This window comes from Homo sapiens, chromosome 11 (assembly GCF_000001405.40).
Source record: "Homo sapiens chromosome 11, GRCh38.p14 Primary Assembly".
Classification (NCBI taxonomy): Eukaryota; Metazoa; Chordata; class Mammalia; order Primates; family Hominidae; genus Homo; species Homo sapiens.
The window spans coordinates 102,109,276-102,129,223 of record NC_000011.10 but is presented as its reverse complement, the minus strand read 5'-3'; the positions used below and the strand labels follow the sequence as shown (position 1 = coordinate 102,129,223).

Here is a 19,948-nt window from a genome sequence, read left to right as displayed (position 1 = left end):
ACAATGGTCTATTAGGGACTGAACACAGGCTACTTTTTTGAGTTCTCTATTAAATGAGCACCACCTGCCAGGGAGAAACTGAGATAAAACTCAGTTAAACACATCTCAGGGTTAACTTATGCAGTATACTGCATATTTACAATTACTGATCAATTTAGATATAAACATTTTTCCTACCACCATCTATACTGATGAGAGAAAGAAAGAGACAGTGTCAGGAGACTGGGGAGGGGACACAGGGTTTGGGGATAGGGAAGCGAGAGGGAGGGAGGGAGGTAAAAAAGGAAGAGAGGGAGAGACAAAGGAAGAGAGAGAGAGGCCAATAATTATATAAGGCTGTTTTACTTTAAAGCCCTAATTTTTAAAGCTGTTCATATTAACTAGATGAAGAACTTGGAAATGGCAAACGAACAGATAGGACTACCTCCCTTATCATACATAAGAATAGAAATTATATCTCCAGGCTCTCTGACCAGAATCCAAACCTTCTGAACAAAATTCTTAGACTGTCCATTCAATGCTAACCACTCTCGTGTCACAGCTGTAATTCTCCCTTTAAGAAAATCTAACATGCAAAAAGGTAAGCTAGCAAAACTGATACTGATAAGGACAAATATAAATGAAGTAAGCATTTGCTTGTTAAAAGCACTTAAGGATTGTATTAGTTCATTTTCACAACGCTGATAAAGATATACCTGAGACTGGGAAGAAAAAGAGGTTTAATTGGACTTAAACAGTTCCACATGGCTGGGGAGGCCTCAGGATCATGGTGGAAGGTGAGAGGCACTTCTTACATGGCAGTGGCAAGAGAGAAATGAGGAAGAAGCAAAAGCGGAAACCCCTGATAAACCCATCAGATCTCGTGAGACTTATTCATTATCATGAGAATAGCACGGGAAAGACTAGACCCCATAATTCAATTACCCCCCGCCGAGTCCCTCCCACAACACGTGGGAATTCTGGGAGATACAGCTCAAGTTGAGATTTCAGTGGGGACACAGCCAAATCATATCATGCTGCCGTTGGCCCCTCCAAATCTCATGTCCTCATATTTCAAAACCAATCATGCCTTCCCAACAGTTCCCCCAAAGTCTTACTCATTTCAGCATTAACCCAAAAGTCCACAGTCCAAAGTCTCATCAGAGACAAGGCAAATCCCTTCCACCTATGGGCCTGTAAAACTAAAAGCAAGCTAGTTACTTCCTAGATACAATGCGGGTACAGGTACTGGGTAAATACAGCCATTCTGAATGGAAGAAATTGGCCAAAACAAAGGGGTTACAGGGCCCATGCGAGTCCGAAATCCAGTGGGACAGTCACATTTTAAAGCTCCAAAATGATCTCCTGTGACTCCAGGTCTCACTGATACAAGAGATGGATTCCCATGGTCTTGGGCAGCTCCGCCCCTGTGGTTTTACAGGGTACAGCCTCCCTTCTGGCTGCTCTCACAGGCTGGCACTGAGTGCCTGCAGCTTTTCCAGGAGCACGATGCAAGGTGTCAGTGGATCTACCATTCTGGGGTCTGGAGGATGGTGGCTCTCTTCTCACAGCTCCACTAGGCAGTGCCCCAGTGGGGACTCTGTGTGGGGGCTCCAACCCCACAGTTCCCTTCTGCACTGCCCTAGCAGAGGTTCTCCATCAGGGCCCCGCCCCTGCAGCAAACTTTTGCCCACACATCCAGGCATTTCCATGCATCTGAAATCTAGGCAGAGGTTCCCAAACCTGAATTCTTGACTTCTGTGCAACTGCACTCTCAACACCAAGTGGAAGCTGCCAAGGCTTGGGGCTTCCAACCTCTGAAGCCACAGCCTGAGCCATACGTTGGCCCCTTTCAGCCACAGCTGGAGTGGCTGAGACACAGGGCACCAAGTCCCTAGACTGCACACAGCACAGGGACCCTGGGCCCAGCCTACAAAACCATATCCTCCTGGGCCTCCAGGCCTGTGATGGGAGGGGCTGACGTGAAAGTCTCTGACATGGCCTGGAGACATCTTCCCCTTGGTCTTGGGGATTAACATTAGGCTCCTTGCTACTTATGCAAATTTCTGCAACTGGCTTGAATTTCTCCTCAAAAAATGGGTTTTTATTTTCTACTGCATTGTCAGGCTGCAAATTTTCTGAACTTTTATGCTCTGCTTCCTTTATAAAACTAAATGCTTTTAACAGCACCCAAGTCACCTTTTGAATGCTTTGCTGCTTAGAAATTTCTTTGGCCAGATACCTAAATCATCTCTTTCAAGTTCAAAGTTCCACAAATCTCTAGGGCAAGGGCAAACTGCCACCAGTCCCTTTGCTAAAACGTAACAAGAGTCACCTCTGGTCCAGTTCCCAAGAAGTTCCTCATTTCCATCTGAGACCACCTCAGCCTGGACTGTTCACATCACTATCGGCATTTTTGTCAAAGCCATTCAAGAAGTCTCTAGGAAGTTCCAAACTTTCCCACATTTTCTTGTCTTCTTCTGAGTCTTCCAAACTGTTCCAACCTCTGTTACCCAGTTCCAAAGTCACTTCCAAATTTTTGGGTATTTTTCAGCAACGCCCCACTTTACTGGTACCAATGTACTGTATTAGTTCATTTTCATGCTACTGATAAAGACATACCCAAGACTGGGAAGAAAAAGCGGTTTAATTGGACTTACAACTCCACATGGCTAAGGAGGCCTCAGAATCATGGCGGGAGGTGAGAGGCACTTCTTACATGGCGGGGGCAAGAGAGAAATGAGGAAGAAGCAAAAGCGGAAACCCCTGATAAACCCATTAGATCTCATGAGACTTATTCACTATCACGAGAATAGCACGGGAAAGAAAGGCCCCTGTGATTCAATTACCTCCCACTGGGTTTGTCCCACAACATGTAGGAATTCTGGGAGATAAAATTCACATTGAGATTTCAGTGGGAACACAGCCAAACCATATCAAGGATTCAGTAAAAAGTGATTTTGTAAGGTTTAAACCAAATCATAAAAAATTGCTAATAGTCACTGTTTTGGGCTTAGAAAATTGGCAACTTCCTATAGTCAACCTGTAATTATAAACTGGATTCACAAAAATTCAGCTTACATACAACTTCTTAAAAACCTACTGCATACCTCTCTGCTTGGCCCAAGGAGGAAATCGATTATTCAGATTTCAGAGAAACAGACCTGGAGACTCTGGATTCAAACACATGACATAGCTGAGAGCAGGGATGAGGCCCCACATTGTCAAGCCCAAGAACACTGGTATTCAGTCCTAACTCCCATCACCACTGGTGCTCTCCAGACTGGCAGACTTAGCTAGAGATAGTGGCTGCTAAAAGAGGAAATTACTAAGACAGTGGCATTCAGGGGTCCCTGCAACTTCCGGGCTTGGCTCCTGTTGTATTACTCTCCAATGAAGCCTACCTAGACAATGAAGGCATCAGCACAAAATATAAAAAGAAACAGTATAATATCCTAAGGGAGATATTATATTACTACAACCATAAAATAAGAACAGCATGTTATTAAAAATAATAAACAATGAGCTCAGAAAAGACTCACTGTAAATTAAGAATGATACACAGGCCAGGCGTGATATGGCTGACATCAGTAATCCCAGCACTTTGGGAGGCTGAGGTAGGCGGATCACTTGAGGTTAGGAGTTCAAGACCAGCCTGGGTAACATGGTGAATCCCCATCTCTACTAAAAATATAAAAAAATTAGCCAGGCATGATGACGCATGCCTGTAATCCCAGCTACTCTGGAGGCTGAAGCAGGAGAATCACTTGAACCCAGGAGGCGGAGGCTGCAGTGAGCCAAAATTGTGCCACCGCACTCCAGCCTGGGCAACAGTGCGAAGCTCTGTCTCAAAAAAAAAAAAAAAAGAAAAGAAAAGAAAAAAAAAAGAATGAGAAATAGCTTTTTGGGAAAAAAGAAAATCAGGCCAGGCGCACTGGCTCACACCTGTAATCCCAGCACTTTGGGAGGCCAAGGTGGGTGGATCATTTGAGCCCAGGAGTTCGACACCAGCCTGGGCAACATGGTAAAACCCTGTCTCTACAAAACATACACACACAAAAATTAGCCGGTCCCAGCTACTTGGGGAGGCTAAGGCAGGACGATCACCTGAGGTTCAGAAGTTGAGGCTGCAGTGAGCCCTGAGCGTGCCACTGCATTCCAGCCTGGGCAACAGAGGAAGACCTTGTCTAAAAAAAAAAAAAAATCTGGCTAGGCACGGTGGCTCATCCCTGTAATCCCAGCACTTCTGAAGGTGGACACGGGCAGATCACTTGAGCTCACAAGTTTGAGACCAACCATGGGAAACATGGTGAAACCCATTTCTACCAAAAACACAAATACTTAGCCAGGCATGGTGATACGCAATCTGTGATCCCAGCTACTTAGGACACTGAGGAGGGAGGATCGCTTGAGCTCCAGGGGCAGAGGTTGCAGTAAGCTGAGATGGCGCCACTGCACTCGAACCTGGGCAGCAGAGTGAGACCGCCCCCCTCCCACATCATCTCAGAAACAAAAGAAAACAAAATCAACAGAAAAATTAAAAGTTAAAGTTGAAGGGATCTCCCAGAAAACATAACAAAATGCTAAGTGAAAGAAAATAGTGGGATAAGATAAGAAAATTAAAACAGTTATCCTGACTAGCAAGAATTCCAGAAAAAAAATAACAGATAAAACAGACTGGAAGAAATTACCCGGGAACTAATGAAAGAAATGTTTTCCAGGACTGAAAGATTCCATGCCTGAAAAGACAGTCCTGGAAATTGTACTTTAGGGCAACTGTACTGCAAAATCTTGAGGGGCATCATCCATATTGAAGACCGAGTTTCTTTACATGAACTGATACATGACTAGGCATTGTTGACAATGAATTTTAAAAGAGCATATCAACAGACATCATGAAATTTCAGACCCCCAATATAAAGAACAAAATACTAAAATCCCCAAGGAAAGCAAACACTCAATTAGCAAACTGGAAGCTAGAAGAAAATGGAGTGCCGGGCGCAGCAGCTCATGCCTGTAATCCCAGCACTTTGGGAGGCTGAGGCAGGCAGATCACTTGAGGTCAGGAGTTCGAGACCAACCTGGCCAACATGGTGAAACCCCGCCTCTACTAAAAATACAAAAATTAGCTGGGGCATGGTGGCACACGCCTGTAATCCCGGCTACTCAGGAGGCTAAGGCAGGAGAATCGCTTGAACCCGGGAGCCAGAGATTGCGATGAGCCGAGATCACACCCCTGCACTCCAGCCTGGGTGACAAAGCAAGACTCCATCTCAAAAAAACAAAAAAACAAAAAAAAAAGAAAAAGAAAATGGAGTGGCCGGGCATGGTGGCTCACACCTGTAATCCCAGCACTTTGGGAGGCCAAGGTGGGCGGATCACGAGGTCAGGAGATCGAGACCACGGTGAAACTCCGTCTCTACTAAAAATACAAAAACTTAGCTGGGCGCGGTGGTGGGTGCCTGTAGTCCCAGCTACTCGGGAGGCTGAGGCCAGAGAATGGCATGAACCCAGGAGGTGGAGCTTGCAGTGAGACGAGATCGAGCCACTGCACTCCAACCTGGGTGACAGAGCAAGACTGTGTCTCGAAAAAAAAAAGAAAAAAAAAAAAAGAAAAGAAAACGGAGTAATGCCATCAAAATTTCACGAGAAAATAAGCTTAAATGCTACAACCAAACTGCCCACTAAATGTTAACAGAGAAAGATAGTTTTAGAGACAAGAGATCTCAACACAGCTACCTCCCATGTACCCCTTTCTTCTGCAAATTTCTAGGGGATGAACAAACTCAAAGAGTGAGCAAATAAAGAAAGAGAAAAATTGGGTACCCAACCCATAAGAGTGATTCAGAAACTCCCCAGGATGAAAGCCAAGGCACATCCTAACATGACAACTCTGAAGCAACAAGTCTAGCACAGAGCAGGAAAACAAAAGACTCTAAGGATAGCTCCAAGGTGGGCAAAAAGCAACAGAAATAAAAACAAAAAATCACGGCAAAAACAAAATCACAGTTGGCCAGGCAAGGAAATACAGAATTTTCCAGAAAATCATAGTACATTATATGACTCTGCTGTAGGCACAACATGAATTGTCATAACGTAAAAATATTTAACAAAACAATTATAGTCATTATAATGGGAGGATTAAAGAAAAGGATTTTGAGGGGTGATGAAAATTCAAGAAATAGCAATGTAACACATTTTATAAATATGGAATTTTTAAAAGTACCAGCGGAAAAAACACCTAGAAGGAGTGGAAAGTGCTTGCCTCTGAAGAATGCAAGCTGCAAGCCAGAGATAAAGAAAAGAGGGTCATTGCTCTTTTCTTTGCTTTTTTTTTTTTTTTTTTTTTGAGAGAAGTCTCGCTCTTGTCCCCCAGGCTAGAGTGCAATGCTCGATCTCGATTCACTGCTGCAACCTCCACCTCCCAGGTTCAAACGATTATCCTGCCTCTGCCTCCCAAGTAGCTGGGATTAAGGCGCCTGCCACCACGCCTGCCTAATTTTTCTATTTTTTAGTAGAGATGGGGTTTCACCATGTTGGCCAGGCTGGTCTCAAACTCCTGACCTCAGGTGATCCGCCCGCCTTGGCCTTCCGAAGTGCTGGGATTACAGGCGTGAGCCACCATACCCAGCCTGCTCTTTTTCTTTATAAACCTTACAGTATTAAGGGATTTTCTAAATCAATGCACAGGTTACTTCCCTAAAAATTAAATTTCAAAATATACGTTTACACACAGGCTATGAAAACAAGGTTCTTCAAACACCTCTCACTGGTAGAATCTGGTGCTTCCTTCCGTTTTCTTTCCTTCTTTTTTTTTTTTGAGACAGAGTCTGGCTCTGTTGCCCAGGCTGTAGTGCAGTGGCGTGATGTTGGCTCACTGCAACCTCTGCCTCCTGAGCTCAAACGATTCTCATGCCTCAGCCTCCCAAAAGGAGTAGCTGGGATTACAGGCATGGGCTACCACGCCCATTTTTTTTCCTTCTATTTTTAGTAGAGATCGGTTTTCACTGTTGGCCAGGCTGGTCTTGAACTCCTACCCTCAAGTTATCTGCCTGCCTTAGCCTCCCAAAAGGCTAGGATTACAGGCATGAGCCACTGCGCCAGGCCCCCTTTCTCTTTTCCTGAATTTTCTGATTCTCTCTAATAAATGTTAGTTTTATAACAAAAACCATATGCCTGGCCAGGTGTGGTGGTTCATGCCTAAGGTTCACCTGAGTCCAGGAGTTTGAGACCAGCCTGGGCAACATGGTAAAACCTGGTCTCTACAAAAAATTTAAAAATTAGCCAGGCATGGTGGTGGATGCCTGTAGTCCCAGCTACTCAGGAGGCTCAGGTGGGAGGATCACACAAGCCTGGGATGTAGAAGCTGCTGTGAGCAGTGATCATGCAACTGCACTCCAAGTCTGGGTGACAGAGTTAAGACTGTCTCAAAATAAACCAAACAAATACAAAAAAATAATATACCTTATTAAAAGAAATGCCTAAAATCAGAGGCAGCAGTCCCCCACTTATCCTCAGGGGAAATGATCCAAGCCCCACAGTGGATGCTTGAAACAGCAGATAGTACCCAACCCTATATCCTATATATATACTACAGTCTTTGGATCTGACAACTGAGGTGGCTACTAAGTGACCAATGGGGTGGTGGCATGGGAGGTAGCATAGACAGTATGGATGCATTGACCAAAGAGAGGATTCACATTCCAGACTGGACAGCACAAGATTGCAGGATTGCATCACGCTACTCAGAACACTGCAATTTAAAACTTATGAACTGGTTTTCTGTTTTTAGTTTTTTTTTTTTTTGAGACAAGGTCTCACTCCCATTGCCCAGGCTGGGCTGAAGTGCAGTGGCACAATCACTGCAGCCTCGACTTCCCAGGCTCAGGTGATTCTCCCACTTCAGCCTCCCAAGTAGCTGGGACTACAGGCAGGTGCCACCATGCTCGGCTAATTTTTTTGTATTTTTAATAGAGATGAGATCTTGCTACATTGCCCAGGCTGGTCTTCAACTCCTGGGCTCAAAGGATATGCCCACCTCAGCCTCTCAAAGTGCTGGGATTACAGACGTGAGCTACGACGGCTGGCCATGAATTATTTCTGGAATTCTCCATTTTAATATTTTTACACCACAGTGATGGCAGGTAACTGAAACTTTGGAAAGGAAACTCATGGATGGTGGGGAGGGACTACCGCACATGAAGGAATAAGAGTGAGGGAGGACTGTTTTATAAATATAAAACAAAAGAACCCCCACATCTATTTCCATATACAGGAAAAAAAAATCCACATCTTGCTTCACCTCCTAGGTGGCAGCGTATGTACTTTTTATCCCAAAAGCCTGCTCCTTATTAGTCAGTTCAGGATATACGAGAAGTTGAATTTCAAGCAACTTTCTATACTACATTCCATTTTGTCAAAGCACACAGTAACACTTTAACAAGCACACTATCTTTACTCCAAATCCCAAATCAAATCTGCAGCAATTTTCATGCAAGTATCAACTCTCTAAACATACTTACTGGCCAAATAAATACCTTACTTTAAAAACAAACAGAACTCCTCTCCCTTTAGGTTAAGCAATCAATTGGAAGAAGACAAAGGAAGGAGCTTTTAATAAAATGTCCCCTCACCCACCCCCAACTGAGAATCCTGCTGAAGAACTTGATAGTCGAGTGACTAACATCCCATAAAGAGATAGAGAGACAAATTAAAGTGACAGCACATGAAGTAATGGCACTAACCACAAATAAAGCACTGAAAATATCTGGTAGAAGAAAACCCAAATAATAGATACTGCCATTTGCACTATTTTATTAATTTGCAACATCATTCAAAGAAACAACAGACTATCACTTGGTTGGTGTGTTTAAAAATTATGATTCTTCTCATGCTAGGAGCAAAATGAGGATTAAATACTGACCATTTTCCTTGTCTAGAATATTAAAGGGGAGGTGGGGAGGACTGCTGTGATTTAAACCAAACTTCTTTGTTTGCATTTAGAAGGGGTCAAGCCCTACGTAAATAAAAGTGCTTCCACGGTGGCAGTACTTGTTCCCAGGAAACTTGGTGCTACAGCACTTGAGCAACCAGAACCATGAAGCAATTCTTCTTCATAGAAACGGCAATGTCCCTTTCATGGCTTGTAGTTCTGATTAATCCTAGAATCAGAAGCCCTTTTTGTAAGAAGTGCATCACCTAGTAACCACAGTTATAGAACGACACAGCTCTTTAAGACCTCCCTTTATACAATGCTACTCAGCTATTATTAAAAACTTTCAAGCCACAATTAATGGCTAAATTATGCTATTACAGAGGGTAGCATTAAGTTTGAATAATCTTAAATCTTAGCAACTGATTTTTAAAATGACTTCACTTTGATTGGTCCTAAGCTTAAATTTCTATATATATTTTGGCAATAAAACAGTTTAGAGTTTACCTCCCCTCAAAGCCTTAAGGTACAAGGCAATGCAGAGTCATGATACCCTGAGTATTTTAAGCTGTGAATTCACATTATTTTTCTAACTACAAAGTAAAATATTTCTCTACATAACTAAAGAGGACTTATTTTAGGGTTGTAAAAACCTGGGTTTTTTTTTTTTCCAAGTTTCAACTATTTAAATGCTATCTAGATGTTTGGGTTTTTTTTTAATGGCTAAGATAAAGCTTTAGGAAAGGGTATTTTTTTTTAAATGTGACTTTAAAAAGAAAATTAGCCTACCACCTTGCAGTCAATTGAGTCTGCTACATTTAAACTTCCAGAGATAGTTCTAGAATTCTTTCTAGAACTAAGAATCATAATTTTTAAACACACCAAGTGACAGTCTGTTCTTTGAATGATGCTGCAAATTAATTAAATAATGCAAAGAAGTTCTAGTGAACTTCTTTCTTAGTTCACACTAAAAAAATTCCATTATTTTTCCCAGGGAATATGTTAATCTCTATGTTCTATTTACTCTGTCACATCTACTATCTTCCAACTGTTTTTCTTCTGCCACTGGTGAATACAGTTTCTCCAGGGTTCTCTCCCTAAATCACTGTGGCACTGTGTGCCATTCTTCCCTGGGATGCCCACCCACTGAGCAGAAGTAAGCTCTCCCCCACCCCCCAGAGCTAAGGGCGTACTTTCATCTTCTCTCTCCACTCAGCCTCAATAGCAAGACAAACAAGCAGAGACTGGCCTTCCCTCAAATAGGGAAATACTTCGTGATTGCAATTTGAACTGGTTTTTTGTTTGTGTATACATGTGCACGTGTGCAACTTAACATTTAATGGCAAAATTACAAGCTTTTCAGTTTTAAAGGGAAACTCTGGGTTATACTTGATACAGAAAGAAACAGTATAGCCTTATTCTTCATGAAACTTCCTTTTAAAGAGGCATAATCTTTATTATGAAGATACACTGTATATGTTCTGTATACAATGTATAAATACCAGGTACACTGTATATGATAACAACATACACTGTATATGTTCATAGTCTTTTTTTTTTTTGAGATAGAGTCTGGCTCTGTCGCCCAGGCTGGTGTGGAGTGGTGCAATCTCAACTCACTGCAGCCTCCACCTGCCAGGTTCAAGCAATTCTCCTGCCTCAGTCTCCTGATTAGCTGGGACAATAGGTGTGCGCCAACACACCCGGCTAATTTTTGTATTTTTGTAGAGATGGGGCAGGAGAATCACGCGAACCCAGGAGGCAGAGGTTGCAGTGAGTTGAGATCGTGCCACTGCACTCCAGCCTGGTCAACAGAGCAAGACTCTGTCTCAAAAAAAAAAAAAAAAGGAAAGAAAGAAAAAAGAATCAGCCTATGTATAGCGATCAATCACATCTACAAGGCAAATTAATATAGGAATATGGGTAGTTTTATGCCATGCAATGTCAAAAATCTCTGAAAAACATATCCTTTTTAAATTGTATACCAAGCTACTCAATATAACTTAATCAAATCACAGCCACAAAAAACCTTGAATCTTCGCAGACTAAAAACATTGTGGCCAGTTATTCAGAAAATGATAAACAATGGAAATGAAACAAAACTGTGCTTTAAAAATTATTAGAACATTATTAAAACAATGCAAATGTACAAACTTTTAAAATCACTGATCCAGATTCCTTAAATCAAATTATAAGGTCCTACATGGTACATTATATATAAGAACACATATCTTTGAACATGGTAATAGTTATAAGGCATCAGAGTCAATAAAATAAACTTGCAAGTAAAACACTCCTTGAAACCAGAGATATTATAGAATACTGAGTCAGGAAGTTATTCAGCAGCTTATAAAGAAATAGGAAGTTGTTGACCAACTACTTGAAGAACTATTTCCTGTAGGAAAACCGTAAGACAGCTGAAGAAGGTAATAACTCTCAGAGTCATAAAGAGAATGAATTCTTTTAAAATGAAAGCTCAATACGATGGTAAAGAAAATAGTTTTGAATAGTAAATGTAGTAGAACAAATATTATATGGCTAAGCCTTGTTTACATACTTCACATTCATCCCAGAGCTTGAAAACAAGCCACTGATAAATGTAACTAGCACCATACTTCCACCGTATCACTTGCCAAAGTAAGGTATGAGTCTCCTCCACAAGATCTCACTGACCTAAGGAGGGCTTTAAAACAACGAATGATTGCCTGCTTATAATCTTTCAGTAATCATGCTGCCTGGAAACTAGATGATAGGCCAACTAACTTCAAAAACTCAATCATCTATGGTCACAAGGCCAACAACTGGGTTGTTTCTTAACATTTCTAAGTTTTTTCTCAAATTACATCGTCTTGCCTGTCTGGACCATTTATAGTCAGGTTCTTCATGCCAAATATAAATCTCAATAAGTTATAGACTTTGTAACTTAAAAGTCAGTTCCAACAAATATCTAAAAAGATGCATTAAAATAAAATGTTTCATTGCGGAAACAAGTGTAAGGCAACTAATTTAAATCTTCATTCTACATCTGATGACAACAACACTCCTCTTTAGATACAAGAGGAAAGTATATAAATATTGATTACAAAGACAGCCCTATTTTAAAACATCAAAACTAGGATAAAAATGAACTTTGACAACAGAAACTTGGCACCAAAAGCTTAGTTTATCATCATCTTTGACTAATGGTTAGGATATTAATCTCATTTGTCTGTTCAGTACACAAAAAGAAGTTGTAACAACTATACGGTCCATAACATCATGGAAGTAGCTAACTGGAGAAGGTGAAATAATCTTATTTCATAACTTTTCTCCAAATTGCATAATGTTCATAAAGCAGATACTCTTTAAAATACAAAATTTTATAAGCCCACAGCATTCTTCTCCCACATCCAATGTTTAGGGGCCTCCATAGAATCCCTGACAGATACCAAGTAACCATGATTTTACCTACATTTATTGAGCAAGATTTACCTGTCCAGGAAAACTCTTCTAGTTCTTAAAAGTTTTATATAAGAAAATTCTTCCATGGAATCAAAATTCCTCACATTTCTTATATAGTAAGACTAATCCTACTCCCACATAAAAGTTCCCCAGAAACACTGAAACAACAATCATGTCTTATCTCTCCTCCTCCCAGTTTTTTCTTTTCCGGGTAAATATCTCTCTACCCTTGCAACCTTTTCTCCTATGACATAATTTGAGATTTATTTATTTTAGCCTGGTTTATCTTCCTTACAGGCCCATAGTTGACAGGGGTGAATTGAGGTGACTGGGGTTGGAAGGTATATACCCTTCATTAATCCATCTACATATATCAATACCTTTAAGAGAAACATTTCTTCACAAAGGAAGAATCACTGGAAACTTTGAAAAATGAATAGTCATTCCTTAGCATCTGTGGTCAAGGATTGGTTCCAGGACCTCCTACATGTACTAAAATCCACAGAGGCTCTGGTCTTTCATATAAGGTGGCATAATATTTGCATATAACCTATACATATTCTCCCATATACTTTATATCACCTCTAGATTACTTATAATACTTAATACAACGTAAAGGCTAAATAGTTGTTACATTATTTAGGAAATAATGACAAGGAAAAAAGTTTGTACATTAGTCAATACAGATGTAATTTGTTTCCAAATATTTTCAATCAGAGGTTGGTTGAATCCATGAATGCTGAACCCACAGATACGGAAGGCCAACTGTATCTAGAATACTGATTTCAGCTCAAAAAAAGATCATTCATTCAAAATAATGAAATCGTAGGCAGGTATCACCTACAAGCAATTATTACAAGATACAAAGAACTAAGAAGAAGAGCATAAATGTTGCTCTTTAACCTTATACTTTTAGCCACAGCATCAACCAAAGAAAGAAGGAAAGCAGGCTATTAAGCTGTTTAACAATCTCCCCAGGTCAGCATGTGACCCAGCAGGGAGAGGTTCAAAAAAGTGCAGCCTTTCTTTTTCTTCCTAACAACCTGGTTTGTTTCCACTCCCTTCCCCTTCAAGACACATCCTTCACAGCTAGCAGCTCTTTCAATCATTTACTTTGGATGTCTGCTTGAGAACAAATGATCTTGCTCATGCAGATGAGTTTGCCAGACTTGTGTGTACTTTCCAGTCTCAGGCCCTTTACTGTTCTGGTTGAAACCTGATCCTTTGAAATGGATACCAGGACACCAGAAAATGAATTTTTTTAAAAAAAAAGAAGAAAAGAAAAGAAAAAGTTGCAGGAAAGGGGGCAAAAAAAAACTGTACGAACTTTTCATGATCAAACCTTTTCCTTTGCTCTTCTGTAAGTCTGTCACAAAACTTTCTATCTTACATTACAAAGTAGCAACCCACCCTGGAAGACAATCAATATAAAACACATACTAGGATTCACACAACAAAACATCCTTAATGGTGTTATCTGGTATGATAAATAAATGTTACATTTGCCTTAGGAGTAGACTGTCAAGACCTATCCGAATCAAAACTTACACTGTTTTTCACTTTATTATCTCAACCTGATTAAACACTATTAAGTGAGCTTTTTTAAAGACATCAATTTCAGTCTATCATAATTAGTTTTAGTCAACATTTCAATATATACTTGATCCAAACAAGCCAGAAAAAAATTGAGGTCTTATCTGTAATTTCAAAATCAGAGGAGAGAAAATTCTATTTATGTCTTTTCAGCCTAGTGTAATTCTGCCATTTTATTAAACACAAAAGGACTGAAAAAATAAAAATAAATAAACAACCCAACGGTCATGTTTTTGTTTTCCCAGAGAGGAGGGTTTCTGTTGTGAAGACCTACTAGCTTGAAAGAAGTTTGCCACTGAGCGACTGCATATGAAACCTAAAAATTTTTATTTCCCTTTACATTTTTGGGGGGAAATATTGGTAAGTCACATCAAGCTTCAGTTGTAGTGCTTGTCATTTCACAATTTAAAATACTGTAAAATTAGACTCCCCCAAAAGCCCTACTTATTTTGTAGTTCTCTACCAATAAAATATTTATTTAAAAAGATACAAGTAGCACCATACGTATTTTGTAAGACGCTGCTAGCCCTGTAATTCCCAGAATTTGAAAATTTTCATGGTATTCTTTCTGTTTTGTGCTAGGCTAATTAAAAGGTTTGGCACAAGCTCAAAATGAGAATAACCAAACTTCCACAAAAGAAAAGATTATAAAGAGGCTCAGAACCAAGACTCAGTAAAGCTTTCAAAATATTACCCATACTAACAAAGGTATTTAGGTCATACCAAACTGAAACATATATATGGAAGATAGAGCTACAGAGCTTAACATAAATATTAAATAAAACATAAAAATAAATGATATTCTGTATCTTGACACCACTTTACTGTGTTTTCCAATACATATTTGTCTTAGATAACTGTCTCCCACCATTATTTTCACTTACTTTAAGAAGTATCTCTGACCAGAAGATGTCTTTGCCATCTCCCAACCTGCTGGCAGAGGTACATCATCAGGTATCTCAAAAGAAGACTGTCGAAGATGCTGAGCTGTGGGTGTAGCTGCTGGGCCAGAGACTACTCCAGTGGGGGTCAGTGTCCCAGGAGAAACAGCTCCCAACTGCAGAGAAGCTGGAGAGGAATGAGCTCGAACATGCTGTGGAGTCAGGGCTCCTGCAGTGCCTGCATCAGTACTGGCCTATTAGGGAATATTAAGATGAAAAATTAAAAAAGAAAAAACACAACTGAGTCCCTTTAAATTTCCCAGTCAGCGCTTAATTGCAGCCGAATATCTAAGTACCAAAGGAAAATTTCAACATTTAATATTCGACACTGGAGAACACAGGTTTTCAAATGGATACTTTTAATATTATATAATTTTAATATAAATTTTATAAATGTTTGTAATTGTATTGATGAGCAGTCCATCTAATGAATTTCCCCTGGTCCACACTAGACATGTAAGGGCAACTAGTACTGAATGAATAAAACATTCCAAAAATAATAGTGAATTTTAAAACCTAATTTTTAAGAGGTCAGTGCAGTTATGGGTGCTTTTCCAAGTTCTAAAATGTTCTAAGTATAAACACAACACAAAGAATATGTATTTTTTACTAGGTTTTAAGTAATTAATTTTTTTTCTAGGTCAAACTCAAGAAAAATCAAGCCCTCGTCATTTATTCCAACCATGATAAAATGCCATCAATAAAGAAATCATAACAAATTACACAAATTTTAATGAGAGCAACAAATTTGAACTGCCCAAATGTTCTTAAAAGCCATCTACAATGAACAGGATGAAAAAAACCCAACTATATCTTTGTATGTAGAAGATAAAGATGTTATCAGTCCAATTTTAACTTAAGAACTCACACACATCCACAACTCTATACAAGCAGAAAAAATTCTGCATTCAGACCCCAAAGATCTGAGTTCCAGTCTAAGTTGGCTAGTGTGACACTGAACAAGTATCTTAACTTCCATATGCCTGTTTTCTCCTTTATAAAATAGTTTTCATGATAGAAAAATGGATGTATATGAAAGAACTTACAGTCACCAGTTTGTGTTGTGAACAATAGTATTTACAACCTAGATTTGTACTATTCATAATCTTGCATAGTTTTTAAAATATTTTTAATTAGCATTAGAGTTTGATTATCAAAAAGTTAGAATTTCCTAGATTCACAAAGGTAAGGAAACTGGAAGGACTCAGTAGAGTCATTAATGCCTTAAAGTGATACACCTTTTTGAGTTTCCCATCAGAATAAGTATGATTTAGGAAATCATTAGGAGAAATAAAAGTCGAATTTACAGATGCAAAACACTTAGTTAAAAACTTATTTAAAACAAACAAAACTATAATAGTTTATGAATTTTAGAACTGCTGGATATAAATTCTTGTAAAAATTATTTACTAGAAGAAAAAGTACACTTCCCAGTTGTAATTCTTTGTGGCTGATGCCACAAAATGGGGGATCCAATCTATGTGTATTATACTTTGAAAACATACCGTGCAGTCTGTAGGGTGCATGCCAACATACATTTACCCACAATGAGTCCATAAACCCACTTCGAGGGGTAAGAGAAAAAAGCATACCTAAGACAAATTGAAGTGTTTAGGCAAGCAGCTAAATTGTTTTTCCTTCTTTCCTCCTCCTTAACCCGGGTTTTTGTCATCAGGTTAAGTGATTTTTTCTGAGTTCCAAAACCCTTTGGTCTCCGACAGGAGACTATACAACAGGCCTGCAAATAGGAGAGGGAATGGGAGTGGGGGCGGTAACTCTTCTTTCCACTCAAGTTACATCCCGAGTGGGCTAACTACATTGCAGTATTTGGAAAACCTATTAACTTTTGGGCAAAGTTCCTATGCTGAAGTTTAGCCTGAAGCAAGTTCTCAAAAAAAAAAAAAAAAAAAAAGAAGAAGAAATAAAAAAGAAAGAAAAAGAGAGAACCCTACACAAAACAAATCCACTGGGACCTATTGGAATGTTAACACTCATTATAAACAGTTTCACTTCTATGCTGAATCAAGTTGGCACAATAATCGAACATTGTGTATGTGGAATAGCAGCCATGTTCATATCCGCAATAAGAATTAAAAAGCAATGGCGATCCTAGAATTAGTCATCGCTTCCCAAACATTAACTTTTAATCACAGTTGAACTAGGCAGGACTTGGCCTATGAGTCAACCTGCAGTGTATTATCAAAGGCTTGTGTTAAAACCTCGGTACTGTAAAGCGCAACTCAGTTCCTGCGCAACGTACAGATGTGGCTAATTCAAAAGCGTTTCAGCCGACTGTAAATAATAGTCTACAACTGGGAAACCAACACGCGACCTACTAAGTTTGATAAGAGCAAGCCGGCCCAAGTTCCAACACACAAGGGAAGAGCAGGGGTGAAAGAACTCCATAAACAACTTCCAGGAAAGTCTGGGCAGGGGAAGCCCGAAACCTGTATTCCGAAATCGCCTGAGCCGCGAGGAAAATAAATGCTTACGGGAGGGGGAGGGGAAACGGGAGGGGGGAAGGAAAGAAAGAGCAAAAAACTAAATGGACCGGTTCTACCCCCACCTCTAATCAACACTGGAAAACAAGAGAACAATTATTTGACTCCCCCAGGAGACTGAAGTGGACCGAGAGGCCGCAAAGGAAAGGGGCCCAGGGCTCAACTTCACAAACTCGGCCGCCGCTGGCAACACACCCACACACAAATGCCAGAGGCCCCCCTCCCCCTTTCCCAGCCCGGCCCGGCGGGAGCGAAGGTGCGGAGCGCGCGGAGGCGCGCGCATTGTGCAAGCCCACCGCGGCCCAGGCCCGACTTTTCCCCACCCCCTTCCTTCCTCCCCACCCCTCCTCCACTCCCGCCAACCTCTCGGGAACCCCGGGAAGAAAGAAAGGAAGAAGGAGGGAAAGCACGCCCCCCGGGGCTGCAACCGCAGAGAGAAACTCAGAAGGGAAAAACAAATCTCAGCCCCGGACTCTGGGAGGAGTGGGGAGCTGGTCACCGCGGCGGAGTGGACGACTCCAGTTCCACTTCGCCTCGGGACCCCCACCCCAGCTAGAGTTCCCGCAACCCCCCTCCCCTGACCAGAGCTGGCGGCCGCGGCTCCCGAGCGCCCCCCCGGTCTGAGGCCCGCCCGACGGGGAAACGGGGAGAGGGGCAACGAGGTTACCTGTCGGGAGTGGGATTTGGGCTCCGGCGGCTTGAAGAAGGAGTCGGGCAGCTTCCGGAGCCTCATGGGCACGGTCTGGGGCACGTTGGCCGTCTTGGGGTTCATGACGGCGTTGAAGAGCGCCTCCAGGTCGGTCTCCGAGTCCCCGCGGACGTGCACGATCTGATGCCCGGCGGGGGGTGCCTGCGGCGCCGCCTGGGTCGCCGCGGGTGCCGGTTGCCCGGGTCCGGACGGCGGGCCCTGCCCCTGCGGGGGCTGCGAAGGCGGCTGCCCTTGGCCCTGGGGGGCCGGTTGAGGCGGCGGCTGCTGCCCGGGATCCATGGCTTCTGCCTCCCCCGACGCGCACCCCCTGACCCAGGCGAGCGAGGGCTACGCCCGGACGCCCCGGCTCCACGGGCCGAGGTGGAGAAGCGGCGACGGCTGCGGGCCGGGCGGCGCTGTCCTCGCTCTCAGGGCCGGGGGGCTGCGCCGCGGCCCCGCATCCCCCGCCCCGGCGCCTCCGCCCCCGCCCTGCGCCCCGGCTCCACTGGTCTGGCGGCTGCGCCTCGGGAGGGGCTGCGAGGCACTCGGACCTGCGGCGCCTGAGAACTTTTTCCCTCCAACTCCCTTGACGGAGGCCGGACAGCTCGTTGCCTTTCCCCGCCTCCCCTTTCTCTTTATTTCCTTTTCTTGTTCCTTCCTTCCTCCCTTTCTTTTCCCTGGCGGCGGCTGCGCCCGACTGAGACAGAAACTCGCCTCAAACGCCAAAACTAAAGTTAGGAGAAGCGCCCGCCCGCGCCGCCGCGGCCCCGCCTCCTCTCGGCTCTTCCTTCCTCTGCGCGCCCGCCCGCACCGCGGCCCGGCCGGCAGCGCAGGGAAACTTTTCGCTGCAAGTTGCTACATTCCTGCACACTCCCGGCCCGCGGCGCCTCTCCCGGCCGCACGTGACCCGCTCGCCCTGGCCCGGTCCGCCCTTCGCCCGCGCTCAGCCGGGCAGGGGCCCGAAGCGTGCCCCGTATTCTGCCCCGCGAACCGCAAACGATGGGTCCAATCCGGGTCCGAACTGTGGTGTCTGCGGAGAACGCGGGCGCCCTTGGCTGCAGGAAGTTCTTCCGCTCCGCTCGGCCCCTTTTCCCCGCCCGTGCTCGGGAAAGGCGCTTCCAGTTCGCCTGGACCTGCGAAAGGGCCAAGGCCGAAAGAAGTGGAGAGAGGATGTGCGAACCCACCTCCTCCTCCTCGCGTTACCCCGGCTTGACCGAGCGGAGCGCCTGTGCGAGCTTAAAGCCGCGAGGATAGATTGGAGTTAAAATAGATACCGTGAGCCGGCATTGATGTTAATAAAGATCCATTGTTTTCAGCATTAACTTTATTTTGTAATTGTTTCACTTATCTGTTAGTCTGCAAAAACTCACTTGAGAGGGGTAAACGGTTACTGTAATTGAAGCTTTGAGACCAGGTCTGTAACTCAGTGTAACTTATTAAAAGAAACAAAAACACTACATTTTCCAAATAGTGAAATCACATCAACTTTTTTAGTACTCGAATTTGCAATAGTCACTGGAAGCCGCAACCCAAAAAATTAGTGCGTCTTCAGGTACAAGCATTCATGCCTCTGTACCTGTCTTTCATCCTCAAGGAGCTGGGTCCCTACCCCTGCTATCCCTGTGCCTGGCCCAACGGTGGACTCCGTTAATGTGGACTGAATAAGAAATGAATGGGCAAGGAGGTCATCCCAGGCACCTGATGTACAAGGAGCCCTTCTGGAAGCCACTCAAAAACAATAGAAATGTTTTTTAAGTCATACACTCTGGGTTTTTTTTTTTTAAAGCATCCTTGTTGAGATATAATTTATATACCATACAGTTTTTGCAATAGTTGTACATATTAGTATATTTAAGCAATTCACTGTTTTTTT

At 42.6% G+C, this 19,948-nt stretch overlaps 1 protein-coding gene and 1 long non-coding RNA gene across 15 annotated transcripts in view, besides 2 other annotated features; one reads left to right on the top strand and one right to left on the bottom strand.

Moving 5' to 3' along the window:
- The window catches only part of YAP1 (Yes1 associated transcriptional regulator), a 122,978-nt gene extending 104,201 nt beyond the window's left edge, over window positions 1–18,777 (bottom strand). For 12 of the 14 annotated variants that reach the window (XM_005271378.4, XM_005271381.4, XM_005271380.4 and 9 more), the window contains exons 1-2: window positions 18,055–18,777; window positions 14,830–15,080 (exon numbers count right to left, since the gene is read on the bottom strand). In XM_005271378.4, the coding sequence (XP_005271435.1) occupies window positions 14,830–15,080; window positions 18,055–18,375 (572 nt within the window). In that variant the 5' untranslated portion in view covers window positions 18,376–18,777. Of the gene's footprint in view, window positions 1–14,829; window positions 15,081–16,478; window positions 16,777–17,452; window positions 17,676–18,054 lie in introns of those variants that run through there. The other 2 variants (XM_011542555.3, NM_001195045.2) reach the window with 2 other exon arrangements.
- Window positions 18,767–19,397, top strand: YAP1-DT (YAP1 divergent transcript). The gene has a single exon (NR_198976.1). It is a non-coding gene; the product is annotated as a YAP1 divergent transcript (long non-coding RNA).
- Window positions 18,865–18,994: a silencer, noted in NCBI's record as "silent region_3859". NCBI's record gives its function as "represses an Ori minimal core promoter by ATAC-STARR-seq in GM12878 lymphoblastoid cells {active_cell/tissue: GM12878}" and the evidence as "EXISTENCE:reporter gene assay evidence [ECO:0000049][PMID:35858748]".
- Window positions 19,005–19,054: a silencer, noted in NCBI's record as "silent region_3858". NCBI's record gives its function as "represses an Ori minimal core promoter by ATAC-STARR-seq in GM12878 lymphoblastoid cells {active_cell/tissue: GM12878}" and the evidence as "EXISTENCE:reporter gene assay evidence [ECO:0000049][PMID:35858748]".